Here is a 14,812-nt window from a genome sequence, read left to right as displayed (position 1 = left end):
TTGGCTCTTTGAAATGTCTCAGGAATGAATCATACATGTCGCTTTCCACTTTTGGAATAGACTAAAACTGGTTCAGCATGTCCAGCAGGTTAGTCTGGCTTCCAAAAGTTGTTTGGCTATGTATTTGGCTAATGCGAAAGTAATTGCGGTTTTTGCCATTGCTTTCAATGCCATTACTTTTGCACCAACCTAATATATTTGTGCATTTCTTTAAGGAAAATAATTAACCATGCTCTTACCTGCCAGAAGTAGTTCTTAGCTTAATTGCTATTTTCATCACCTTCATAAATTCACATCTAGTTCACAGCAACATTCTAGAGGAATGGTATATGTCAGCCAATAAAAACCACCTCATTAGAAAGTGTTAAAAAAGTCATTTTAAGAAACACCATTCAAAATTTGAGTACGAAAATTAATTTTGCAGCACAGATATACGTTGAGTAGAACTTACTGTTCAAATATAGAAAATGACCAATACATATAAGAAAAATATACTTATTTAATTCCTAAAAAACACATAGATTTTGCTGATAGGAAAAAGAGAAGCAGGGATATAAAGGCATAAATTGCATGCTTTCAAAACACACAGGCTGTATTGATGAGAAACAGAGATGTGTGGACATGGATGCGTGAAAGGACTCACTAAGGCTATAATGAAGGGCCATGAGGAAAGAAAGCATTGACATTTGTTCTTTCCTGGACCTTGACCTTGTGTTATCAGGACCAGATATAGCAGATCTTATAAAGAGGGTGGAAAACAAAACCAGTAGATTCACATAATTCAATTCCAGGCCAAGAATGTAAAAGACATGAGATTGGTGTTTTTGAAAGCCAATGCTACCTAAAGGGGTAAAAATTCAAATTGTTTCTTCCATAAAATTACTTTTTAAGAAATGATAATTAGAATTGAAACAACAAAACTCTCAACTACTGGTTTTTTACAAATACAACTTTTGAAGGAAGAGTCAAGAATAATTCATTACCCTTCTTAAAACCCTGTCCCACTGTTTCTCATTATCAGCCACTTTATGTCCCAAATCACAGAGAAAAGGGGGTCTTCCTTCTTTTTCCCACCCTTTTTTTTTTTTTAGACGATGTCTCGCTCTAACGCCCAGGTTGGAGTGCAGTGGTGCGATCTCAGCTCACTGCAACCTCCGCCTCCCGGGTTCAAGCAATTCTCCTGCCTCAGCCTCCTGAGTAGCTGGGATTACAGGTGTATGCCACCACGCCTGGCTAATTTTTGTATTTTTAGTAGAGATGGAGTTTGACCATGTTGGCCAGGCTGGTTTGGAACTCCTGACCTGAAGTGATCCTTCTGCCTTGGCCTCCCAAAGTGCTGGGATTACAGGCGTGAGCCACCACGCCCTGCCTTTCCCACCTTCCTTTAACCTCCTTCCAGAAGAAAGAAATAGCCAATTTAAATAAACATCTATTGTGTGTTGATTTTGTTGTCTGTGATGTTCAAGGTACTGGAGAATGAGCTGTAAATAAGACAGACAGCAATTGTGCCCCCCAGGAGTTGACGTTCTAATGAGGGATGACAGCCAATAAACATACAGAAAAAAATGAATTAGAACTTCAGGTGCTGATCAACATTATGAAGCTATAATAGGGTATTGTGAGAAAAGTGACTCAGGGAGATGGGATACTACATTAGCTGTGATAGTCAGGAAAGGGCTGAGAAAGTGACATCTGAGTCACTTTGTATCACCTAAATCAGGGGTCCTCAACCCCCAGGCCACAGACCCATACAAGTCTGTGGCCTGTTAGCAACCGGCCTGCACAGCAGGAGGTGAGCAGCATGTGAATGCGAAGTTTTATCTGTATTTATAGCCATTCCCCACCACTCGCATTACTCGCATTACTGCCTGAGCTCTGCATCCTATCAGATCAGCAGAGGCGTTAGATTCTCATAGGAGGGCAAACCCTGTTGTGAAATGTGCATTTAAGGGATCTAGGTTGCATGATCCTTACGAGAATCTAATGCCTGATGATCTGTCACTGTCTACCATCACTCCCAGATGGGACTTTCTAGTTGCAACAGGTTCAGGGTTTCCACTGATTCTACATTATGGTGGGTTGTATAATTATTTCATTATATATTACAATGCAATAATAATATACATAAAGTGCACAATAAATGTAATGTGTTTGAATCATCCCAAAACCATCCCCCATAACCCTAGTCCATGGAAAAAATTGTCTTCCATGAAGCTGTTCCCTCATGCCAAAAAGGTTGGGGACCACTGACCCAAGTGATAAAAACAAGGAATCTTTTTATTACCCAAGTGATAAAAAGAGATCCGGGGGGCTCTCCAAGCAGAATGAGCAAGAGGTGGGATGGCCTGAAGCATGAACAAACTTGGTGTGTTCATGGGACAGAGTATCAGAGTGGTTAGAGCTCAATGAACAAGGAGAAGAGTGGAGAGAGATGAGGTCAGAGACACAGATGGGGCAAGATTTGGAGAGCCTCATAGACTCTGATGAGAAGTTTGTTGATTATTCTGATGCAATGGGAAGTCTTTAGATAATTTTAAGCAAGGAAATTATATTCTCTGGTTTACGCTTTAGAAATATGACTCTGGCTGCTATGTGGATAGAGGAAGGACAATGAGGAATCAAGAGTGCAGCCACAGAGACCAGTGAGAAGTGATGATGGCATTGACCTAGATTGGAAGAGTAGAGATGGAAAGAAGTGGTTAGGTTCAGAATATATTTTGGAAGTTGGAGCTAATGGAACCTATTGATGAATTGGAAGTAGATACTGATGGATTGAATGTGCTGTGTGAGGAAAAGAGAAGAGACAAATAGGGCTCCTAGGTATTTGTCCTGAGCAACTGAGTGTATAATTGTGTAATTTACTAGGACCGGAAAGGCTCAGGGGAAGCAGACTTGGGGTGTGATAGAAATCCGATAGCTTGGTTTTGGCCATGTTAAATTTGAGATGCTTATTAGACATCCAAGTTATATGCTGAGTAGATAGTTGGATATACAAGTTCTGGAGCTCAGGCAAGGAGCTTGGGTCTAGAGATATACACTTGAAAGGTATCAGTATATAAAGTTCTTTGAAGCAATGAGTCTAGACGAGATCACCTAGGGAGACAATATAGAAGGGGTATCCAATCTTTTGGCTTCCCTGGGCCATGTTGGAAGAAGAATTGTCTTGGGCCACACGTAAAATACACTAACACTAACAATAGCTGATGAGCTACACACACACACACACACACACACACACACACACAAAATATCTCATAATGTTTTAAGAACGTTTACGAATTTATAAATGTATAGCATTCCCTACTCTGGGATAGAACACACACACACACACACACACACACACACACACACACACACACACACACACACAATATCTCATAATGTTTTAAGAAAGTTTACGAATTTGTAAATGCATAGCATTCCCTACACTTGGATAGAAAGAGAGGAGCCGAGGACCAGAGTTCTGCATACTCCAACATTTAGCAGTATTCTGTCTTCATGTCCAAGGCAAATCTTTTATTATATTCTCTGATCTTATCCAATTCACCTCTTCTATAGCAGATTAAAAATGACTGTAAATTCTTTGACACTTCTACCAAGAGGTGGGGTGTAATTCCCTTTCCCTTGAATCTGGGCTGAGTCAGTAAGGCCAGTCAGTGACTTGACCAACGGAATTAATCAGAAGTGACATTCTGGGATCCGAGAGATGAGGTAATAAGAAGACTTATACCAATAGTTTCTGCCCAGGATATTTGGAATATCCTCTCTGAAAGCTTGAACCATCATGTAAGAAGGCCAGTCACCCTAAGAGTACCCTGGAAAGACCATCTGTAGGTGCTCTTATTGACATTCTTAGCTGAGCCCAACCTTCCAGTCACTCCTGCCAAGATATCAGACATGTGAATGAAGCAATCTTGGAATTTTGAGACTAACCCATCTACCAGCAAACCTGGCAAGTAACCACATAGGATATCGTGGGGCAGAGAAATTGCCCAGCTGAGCCCTGCCGAAATCTCTGGCCCCTCAAATCATGATATATAATAAAATGGGTAAATTTGGGATAATTTATTATATAGCAATAGAAAACTGAAAACACCTTCCCTCTTTGTCTGGGACCTTATTTTATAATCAATTCTCATCCCTTCTGGTTCATGCTACCTTCTCAACCACACATTATTTTATTACCAACTTTTCCTTCCTTCCTGGTTCTTTTTCCTCCACCTGCAAGCATGCTCAGTCTTTTCTACCTTGTTAAAAACTTTCTTAAACCTACTGCAAAATCTTTTTCCTTTAACGCACCCCTAAATTGATCTCACTGAGTTTACCAATATCTAATTGACAAAACCATCAGATATTTTTCTGTCCTTATATTTAACTGTATTCGGTTTCAGAAGTTCTCATCATGATACTTTAAGGATGAGGACAGCTGATGTGGCTGGCCTGAAAAATAAGGTAAGAACCAGAACTAATCTGCACAGTCAGGGATTTCAGTTTTTTTAGGCCTGAGTTTCTTTAGCTGAGACATGAGAAGCACCTCAAAATCAGAGCTCCTGAAGACAAGGTGGATACAGAGTGAATGAACCAAGTAGAACAGAGCTGGATAGGTGAGAGGAAAATAGCATGAGAAATTCCTTGATCTAGAATTTTGGTCCAGCATTTGAGGAACAGCAGGATCAAACTTCTGAAAATAGAGTAATAGACTGTCAAAAAGAAGGGTAGGCTTAGATTAGTGTGGAGAACAGTCAGGAGAAAGCCCTTAACCAGGTTCTTAAACTTTATTTTCCTTATGAATCAATTGGAAAAGTTTTGTTAAAGATACTGATTATCCTGCCTTGCCCAAGAAATTCTGGGGTTGGATTGACAATTTTTCTTTCAAATAAACACCCCAGGTCATTCTGATACAGGTGGTCTTCAGGCCAGACTTTCAGAAACAGCATCCTAAAGAAAGAGGAAGGGCTTGGGTGGGCATTCTGGAATGGGACCATTTGGTTATTTCTTCTTTACCTAATTGGTTAACTCATTAGTTTGCTCATGATTCCACAATCTAGGCTGGGCTCAGCTGGAACACTGGGAGGCTGAACTGAGTTTCTCTCTTTCTCCATGTAGTTTCAGGGCTTCTTCCTCTTTACATGACCTCCATATGTAGCACTTTCCATGTGGTCTCTGCAGCAGAGTAGCCAAACTTCCTACATGTGGCTCGGAGCTTCAAATAGCACAAAAACGGAAGCTGCCAGGCTTCCTTAAAGTTGAGGCCTGGAATTGGCACTGTGTCACTTTTGCTACATGCCACTTGTTGAAGCAAGTCACAGGCCTAGCCCATATTTAAGGAAAAGCACCATACAAATGTGGGAACACTGTGAGATGTGGTTCACTAAGGGGCCATAATTTAATGGGTTAGCAGAGAAAATACCAGAATAAAATAAGATAAAGCTGGCTTTGTTGGGAGTAGAGATGTATAAGGTTAATATATATAATAAGCACAACCACAAAAGCATGCTCAGTTTTTAAAGATGAACCACAAATTAAGCTCTGAGTTTCCTAATAGCCAGGAAAATCAGTTAGGGTTAAATAAATTAATAAAGAATTAACAATTATTTATTATGGGTAGTTTGCAAATCTTTTTTCCCATTCCGTGGGCGATCACTTCACATTATTATTTGTCTCCTTTGCTGTGCAGAAGCTTTTTAGCTTGATGTAATCTCAGTTGACAACTTTGCTTTGGTTCCCTATGCTTTTGAGGCCACAAAAATCTTCCCAGACCAATATCTTGGAGCATTTCCTCAATGTTTTATTTTCGTAGTTTCACAGTTTCAGGTTTTACATTTAAGTATTTAATCCATTTTGATTTTATTTTTGTATATGGTAAGAGATAGGGGTCTAGTTTCATTCTTCTGCATATGGTTATCAAGTTTTCCCAGCACCATTTATTAGAGACTGTCCTTTCCCCATTGTATGTTCTTGGTGCCTTTGTGGAAGAAGTTTGGCTGTAAATGTGTGGATTTATATTTTGGCTCTTTTTTTTTTTTTTTTTTTTTTTTTTTTGAGATGGAGTCTCGCTCTGTCTCCCAGGCTGGGATGCAGTGGTGCGATCTCGGCTCACTGCAACCTCCACCTGCCGGGTTCCAGCTATTCTCCCACCTCAGCCTCTTGAGTAGCTAGGACTACAGGTGTGGGCAACCATGCCCAGCTAATTTTTTGTATTTTTAGTAGAGACAGGGTTTCACCATGTTGGCCAGGCTGATCTCAAACTCCTGACCTCAAGTGATCCACCAGCCTCAGCCTCCCAAATTGCTGGGATTACAGGTGTGAGCCACTGTGCCCAGCCCTTGGCTCTCTATTCTGTTCCATTGGTCTATGTGTCTGTTTTTATGTTAGTACTATGCTGTTTTGGTCACTATAACTTTGTAGTATATTTTGTAGTCAGGTAGTGTGATGCCTCCAGTTTTGTTCTTTTTGCTCAGGATTGCTTTGGCTATTCAGGCTCTTTTTTGGTTCCATATGAATTTTAGGATTTTTTTTTCTATTTCTGTGAAGAATGTTAATGATATTTTGGTAGAGATTACATTGAATCTGTACATTGCTTTGGGTAGTATTGTCATTTTAACAACATTAACTCTTCCAATCAATGAGCAAGGAATATCTTTCCATTTTTTGTGTCCTCTTTAATTTCTTTCATCAGTGTTTTATAACTTTTCCTTGTGTTGATCTTTCCCTTCTTTGGTTAAACTGTTTCCTAGGTATTTTATGTTCTTTGTAGCTATTGTAAATGGGATTGCTTTCTTGATTTCTTTTTCAGATTTTTTTGCTCCTGGCATATTTTAAATGCTACTGATTTTTGTATGTTGATTTTGTATCCTGCTACTTTACTGATTTTGTTGATCAGTTCTAAGAGTTTTTTTGGTGAAGTCTTTCTTTAGAGTTTTCTAAGTATAAAAGCATGTCATCTATGAACAAGGCTAATTTGACTTCTTTTCCAATTTGAATGTCCTTTCTTCCTCTTATCTAATTGCTCTAGCCAGGACTTCTAGGATGATACTGAATGAAAATGGTAAAAGTGGCCATCCTTGTTTTTCCTCCAATTCTTAGAGGAAAGGCATTCAATTTTTGCTTGTTCAATACAGTGTTAGCTGTGGGTTTGTCACATATGGCCTTAATTATTTTGAGGTAGGTTTTGTTTTTTTTTTCTGAGATAGGGTCTTGCTCTGTTGCCCAGGCTGGAGTGTAGTGGCGTGATCTCGGCTCACTGCAACCTCTGCCTCCCAGTTTCAAGAGATTCTCTTGCCTCAGCCTCCCAAGTAGCTAGGATTACAGATGCACACCACCATGCCTGGCTAATTTTTGTATTTTTAGTAGAGATGCGGTTTCGCCATGTTGGCCGGGCTGGTCTTGAAGTCCTGACCTCAGGTGATTCACCTACCTCAGCTTCCCGACGTACTGGGTTTACAGGCATGAGCCACCGTTCCCGGCCAAGGTATGTTCTTCCTATACTCAAGTTATTGAGGGTTTTTAATCATGAAGCAATGTTGAATTTTATTGAATGCTTTTTTTGGCATCTATTGAAATGATCAGAGGTTGGGTGTGGTTGCTAACGCTTGTAATCCCAGCATTTTGGGAGGCTGAGGCAGGAGGATTGCTTGAGGCCAGGAGTTCGAGATCAGCCTGGGAAACATAGTGAGACTCCATCTCTACAAAAAATGTTTAAAATAGCTAGGGGTGGTGATTTACACCTGTAATCCTAGCTATTCAGGAGGCTAAGGCAGGAGGATCACTTGAGCCCAAGAGTTTGAGGTTATGGTGAGCTATGATCACACCACTGCACTTCAGCCTGGGCAACAGAGTAAGACCCTGTCTCAACCACTCAATCAATCGTATGGTTTTTGTTCTTGGTTCTTTTCATGTGTTTTATCACGTTTATGGATTTGGATATGTTGAACCATCATTGCATCCCTGGAATAAATACGAGTTGATCATGATGAATTATCTTCTTAATGTGTTGTGGAATTCAGTTTACTATAATACTATGATAGTTTGTTGAGGACTTTTGCATCTGTGTTGGTCAGGGATATTGGCCTGTTGTTTCCTTTTTTTGTTATGTCTTTGTCTAGTTTTGGTATCAGTGTAATGCTGGTCTTGTAGAATGAGTTTGAAAGTATTTCCTCCTCTTTGGAGCTTGCAGTGAGCTGAGATTGTGCCACTGCACTCCAGCCTAAGTGACAGAGTGAGATTCCATCTAAAAAAAAAAAAAGAAAAGAAAAGAAAAAAAGAAAGTATTTCCTCAGTGTTTAAAAATACTTTGAGTAGAACTGGTATTTGTTTAACTGTTTGGTGGAATTCAGCAGTGAATCCCTCAGCTGTTGGGCTTTTCTTCGCTGGGAGACTTTATTACTGCTTTAATCTCATTACTTGTTATTGGTCTATTAAAGTCTTCTGTTTCTTCATGGTACAATCCTGGTAGATTGTATCCAAGAATTTATCCCATTTTGTCTAAATTTTCCAATTTGTTAGCATATAGTTGTTCATAATAGTCTCTAATGAGTGTACTTCTGTGGTCTCAGTTCTTATGTCTCCTTTTTCATTTGTGAATTTATTTATTTGAGTCTTTTCTCTTTTTTTGTTAGTCTAGCTAAAGGTTTGTCAATTTTATCCTTTTTTTTTTTTTGAGACAGAGTCTCACACTGTTGCCCAGGCTGGAGTGCAATGGCGCGAGGCTCACTGCAACTTCTGCCTCCCAGGTTCACACAATTCTCCTGCCTCAGCTTCCTGAGGAGCTGGGATTACAGGTGCACACCACCACACCTGGCTAATTTTTTGTATTTTTAGTAGAGACGGGGTTTCACTATGTTGGCCAGACCGTCTTGGACTCCTGGCTTCCTGATCTGCCCGCCTCAGCCTCCCAAAGTGCTGGGATTACAGGCGTGAGCCACCGCCCCAGGCCTTATCTTTAAAAAAAAAAAATTTCATTTCATTGATCTTCTGTATTTTTTAGTCTTAATTTCATTTATTTATTCTCCAATCTTTATTATTTCTTTCCTTCTACTAATTTTGGGCTTGGTTTGTTCTTGCTTTTCTAGTCCTCTGAGGAGCATAGTTAGGTTGTTTATTTGAAGTCTTTCTATTTTTCTCATATATTTGTTTGTTGCTATAAATTTATCTCTTTGTACTGCTTTTGGTGTATCCCATAGATTTTAATATGTTGAATTTCCATTTTCATTGCTTCAAGAAATTTTTAAATTTCTTTCTTAATTTCTTCATTGACTCATTGTTTGTTCAGGAATATGTTGTTTAATTTCCATGTGTTTGTGTATTTCCAAGGTTCCTCTTGTTATTGGTTTCTAGTTTTATTCCATTGTGGTCAGAATAAATACTTGAAGGCTGAGAGCAGTGGCTCATGCCTGTAATCCTGACACTTGGGGAGACCGAGGTGGGTGGATCACTTGAGTTCAAGAGTTTGAGACCAGCTTGGACAACATAGTGAAACCCTGTTTCTACTAAAAATACAAAAAATTAACTGGGCGTGGTAGTGCATGCCTGTAGTTCCAGCTACTCAGGAGGCTAAGGCACAGGAATCGCTTGAACCTGGGAGGCGGAGGCTGCAGTGAGCCATGATCATGCCACTGCACTCCAGCCTGGGCAACAGAGTGAGACAATGTCTCAAAAAAAAAAAAAGAAAAGAAAAGAAAAAAAAAACTTGATATAATTTATACTACTTTGAATTTGTTGAGACTTGTTTTGTGGGCTGTGTTCTAATCTGGAGAATGTTCCATGTGCTGATGAAAAGAATGTGTATTCTGTAGCAATTGAGTGAAATGTTTTATAAATGTTAGTTAAGCCTATTTGGTCTAGTGTGTAATTTAACTCTGATGTTTCTTTGTTGATTTTCTGTCTGCATGATCTGTCCATTACTGAGAATGGGGTGTTGAAGTCCCCTGTTATTATCATATTGCAGTCTATCTCTCCCTTTAGATCTCTCTTTTTTTTTTTTTTTTTTTTTTTTTTTGTAACGGAGTCTCGCTCTGTCGCCCAGGCTGGAGTGCAGTGGCACAATCTCGGCTCACTGCAAGCTCCGCCTCCCGGGTTCACGCCATTCTCCTGCCTCAGCCTCCTGAGTAGCTGGGACTACAGGCGCATGCCACTATGCCCAGCTAATTTTTGTATTTTTTTTAGTAGAGATGGGGTTTCACCGTGTTAGCCAGGATGGTCTCGATCTCCTAACCTCGTGATCCGCCCGCCTCGGCCTCCCAAAGTGCTGGGATTACGGGCATGAGCCACCGCGTCCAGCCCCCTTTAGATCTCTTAATGTTTGCTTTATATACTTGGGAGCTCCAATGGTAGGTGCATAGATATTTATAACTGTTATATCCTCTTGCTGAATTGACCCTTTTGTCATTATATAGTGACTTTCTTTGTCTCTTTTTACAGTCTTTGATTTGTAGTCTATTTTATCTTTTAAGTATAGTTAATCCTGCTCTTTTTTGGTTTTCATTTACATGGAATATCTGTTTTCCACCTCTTCACTTTCAGTCTATGTTTGTCTTTATAGGTGAAGTTGTGTTTCTTTTAGGCAGAATATAGTTGGGGCTTGTTTCTTTATCCATTCAGCCACTCTGTGCCTTTTAATTGGAGAATTGAGTCCATTTACATTCAGTGTTAATATTGATAAAGACCTACTACTGCCAATTTATTACTTGTTTTGTAAACTCTCTCTTCCTTTCTTATGGTTTTCCTTTGTGGGTAAATGATTTTCTCTGGTAACGTGTTTTAATTTGTTGCCTTTTATTTCTCATGAATCTATTATAGGTTTTTGTCTCGTGGCTACCATGAGTCTTCTAAGAAAACATCTTATAGATACAACGAAAGTTATTTTAAAGGGATTATAATTTATCTTGTCACAAAAAATGCTAATAGACAAAAAAAGAAAAACAAAATCTCAATAATTTAATTCCATGCCCCCTACATTTTAACTTTATGTATTCTCTATTTACATATTTTTATATTTTCTATCTCTTAACAGGTGGCTGTAGCTACCTTCTGCATATGGATATCCAGTTTTCCCAGCACCACTTATTAAAGAGACTGTCTTTTCTGCAGTGTATATTCTTGGCACCGTTGTTGAAAATGAATTCATTGTAGGTGTGTGGGTTTGTTTCTGGGTTCTCTATTCTGTTCAACTTGTCTATGTGTCTGTTTTTATGCCAGTACCGTGTCATTTTAGTTACCAGAGCTCTGCAGTATAATTTGAAACCAGGTCATGTGATTCCTCCAGTTTTGTGGTATTAGGATAGGTTTGGCTATTCTGAGTCTTTTGTGGTTCCATATAAATTTTAGAATTTTTTTTTTCTATTTCTGTGAAGAATGTCATTGGTATTTTGATAGGGATTGCGTTGAATCTGTAGATTGCTTTGGGTAGTATGGACATTTTAACAATATTCATTCTTCTAATCCATGAACATGGAATACCTTTCCATTTTTTGGTGTCCATTTCAATTTCTTTCATCAGTCTTATACTTTTCATTATAGAGATCTTTCACTTCTTGGATTAACTCCTATGTATTTAATTTTACTTGTAGCTATTGTAAATGGGATTACTTTTTTTTTTTTTTTTGACGGAGTTTCACCCTTGGCATCCAGGCTAGTGTGCAATGGCGCAACCTCAGCTCACTGCAACCTCCACCTCCCAGGTTCAAGCAATTCTCCTGCCTCAGCCTCCTGAGTAGCTGGAATTACAGGTGCCCGCCACCACACCCGGCTAATTTTTGTATTTTTAGTAGAGACAGGGTTTCACCACGTTGGTCAGGCTGGTCTTGAACTCCTGACCTCAGATGATCTGCCCACCTCGACCTCCCAAAGTGCTGGGATTACAGGCATGAGCCACCACTTCCAGCAAGGGATTACTTTTTTAATCTCTTTTTCAGATTTTTCACTGTTGGCATATAGAAATCCTACTAATTTTTGTATGTTGATTTTGTATCCTGGAACTTTACTGAATCTGTTTATAATTTGTGTATTTGTTTATAGTAGTTTTTTGGTGGACTCTTTCAGTTTTTCCAAATATAAGATCATATCATTGGCAAACAAGGACAGTTTGATTTCTTCTATTCCAATTTGGATGCCTTTATTTCTTTCTGTTGTCTGATTGCTCTAGTTAGGACTTCCAGTACTATGTTGAATAACAGTGATGAAAGTGGGCATCCTTGCCATGTTCCAGATCTTAGAAAAGAGGCTTTCAGTTTTTCACCATTCAGTTTGATACTAGCTGTGGCAGCTTCCATGAGAATCACGCAGTTTGAAGAAGCATTTCACTGAAAAATAGGGATTGCTGTTCTGGAAAGACAAAACAATTGTCTACAATTCTAAAGAAGAAGTGAACACAATAATTAAATCAATGTTATTCTGGGTCTAAAGCTTATATTCTTAATTACTATATTATCCCATCTTAAAATTTTAATTTGGAAATTATATATCTAAATATTATAATCAATAAAGTTGAACACACATGATGAAGTGTGAAAAGAAGTAAAAAACAGATGTGTGAAATGATTCCATAATTATTAATGTGCTTATGTTTCAAAGAGTTTTCACAACCCAACAAAACTTACCCTCTCTGGGGCCTTTGTAAAAACAAACAACAACAACAAAAAACTCATTCTCCATTCTTCCACCTGCTCCACAAAACAAAAATGCATCTTATTCACCTTAGAATCCACAGGTACTTGGTAGAGGCTCAAAAAATGTTTATTTAGTAAAACCAAAATGTCTTCCAAAAAATAACAATAGTTCTTTTCTTTTTCTTTTCTTTTCTTTTTTCTTTTTTCTTTTTTTTTTGATACAGAAACTCACTCTGTCACTCAGGCTGGAGTGCAATGGCACGATCTCGGCTCACTGCAACCTCTGCCTCCCGAGTTCAGGTGATTCTCCTGCCTCAGCCTCCCGAGTTGCTAAATTACAGGTGCTCAGCACCACACCCGGCTAATTTTTCTATTTTTAGTAGAGATGGGGTTCTGCCATGTTGATCTTGCTGGTCTCGAACTCTTGGCCTCAAGTGATCTGCCCACCTCAGCCTCCCAAATGCTGGGATTACAGGTGTGAGCCACCACGCCCGGCCAAGTAACAATATTTCTGGATATAATACCTGAAAACTCAGCGCAGAAAGATATAAAGGGATAAAAAATTTATAATATAGTCATTACAATGGAATAAAATGAAATATAAAGCAATAAAAAGGAACGGACAGCTGATATATGTAACAATATGGATGAATCTCAAAAGCAATATCAAAAGATCAAAAGGGTATATATTACATGATTCCATTCTGGAAAAGGCAAAACTATAGGGACAGAAAACAAGTCAATGATAGGCAGTGGGCCGGGGGGGGAAGTGATTTATTATAAAGAGGCATGAGGAAACTTTAGGATGACATAAATGTTCTATGTCTTTATATGGTGGTGGGTACATGACTGTATACTTTTGACAGAGGTATATCTAAAAGGGGTGAGTTTTACTGTGTATAAATTATACCTCAATGAACCTGACTAAAAAAAAAAAGATGTAAAAATCTTAATATAACACTCTTTGTTAATTTACCTAAAATACACCTATTAATTTTGAAGTAAATATCAGAGAATTTCACAGAAGCTATAAAAGCAATTGTCCTGCCATTAGCACAGTCAAATAATCATTTAACTATAGCATTTCAAAGATACAGTTAATTCTAACTATTTATTTGCTATTGTTTTTGGGAAGAACATTTTGTACATGAAAAGGAGGTGAGAAATGAGATATGGGCTTTAATTTGGGAGAAATACATGGAGCTAGGAAATGGAAAGGAATAAAAAAATGAGCTTTCTTCTATGAAAGGTACTTAAGGGCTGGGCGCAGTGGCTCATGCCTGTAATTCCAACAGTTTGGGAAGCCGAGGTGGGCAGCTCAAATAAGCTCAGGAGTTTGAGACCAACATAGGCAAAATGGCAAAACTCCATCTATACAAAAAATACACCAAGCGTGGTGGTGTGTGCCTGTAGTCCCATTTACTTGGGAGACTGAGATGGGAGGACTACTTGAGCCCAGGAAGCGGAGGTTGTAGTGAGCCAAGATGGTGCCACTGCACTCCAGCCTGGGTGACAGAATGAGACCCTGTCTCAAAAAAACAAAGAAAGAAAAGAAAAGGTACTTAATATCTTCAAATATTCAAGATCTGAATGAGAAAAATGTAATTTTAGGTCAGGTGTATATAAAAAGTATCCAGCAATTTCATAGCTACTTATCTTCATGGACTGTTTCCTTGGTTGGTTATCTCTGTCACTGTTCATATCACACCGAGGGTTGTTACCTGCTGGCTTTCACATCTTCCTGTTCTTTCACTCATTGACTAGACTTTTCACTCATTTAATCACTGTTTTCAAACATCTCTATGTGCCAGACACTGGAGTAGAGATGCAAGGGTGAGTAAAACACATGAGATCCCTGCCCTTTCATTACATTTAATGAGAAGAGAGACAAAAAAAAAAAGTGGATACTTTCAGATTATGTTAAGTGTTATGAAGAAATAAAACAGGGTAATGGGGCTCAGAATGACTTTGCAGGTGAGAGATAGGTGGCTGGAATATTTTAGATAGAATGGTGAAGGGATCTGAGGAGACAATTTGTACTGACAGCTCTGGGAAGTGAACAAAGAGAAGGAGCCAGCCATGGGAAGAGTTCCAGCCATAGGAAACAATAAGAGCAAAAGCCTGAGACAGAAATGCATTTGACATTAAATGAGAGGGCTGTAAAGCAGGCCTATGTGGCCAGGGTGCAGTGAACAAGGGGAGAGTGG

At 38.9% G+C, this 14,812-nt stretch overlaps 1 long non-coding RNA gene across 1 annotated transcript in view; it reads left to right on the top strand.

Annotated features, from left to right (window-relative positions):
* CCDC18-AS1 (CCDC18 antisense RNA 1) overlaps positions 1–12,511 on the top strand; it is a 35,703-nt gene extending 23,192 nt beyond the window's left edge. Inside the window, exon 9 of the long non-coding RNA NR_034089.1 lies at positions 11,012–12,511. This is a non-coding gene — a long non-coding RNA (CCDC18 antisense RNA 1). The remainder of the gene's footprint in view (positions 1–11,011) is intronic.
* Positions 12,512–14,812: the final 2,301 nt, after the last annotated feature.

The sequence above is a fragment of the Homo sapiens genome, chromosome 1 (genome assembly GCF_000001405.40).
Source record: "Homo sapiens chromosome 1, GRCh38.p14 Primary Assembly".
Classification (NCBI taxonomy): domain Eukaryota; kingdom Metazoa; phylum Chordata; class Mammalia; order Primates; family Hominidae; genus Homo; species Homo sapiens.
Note: the sequence above shows the minus strand (reverse complement) of the source record. Positions and strands in the feature narration are given on the sequence as shown.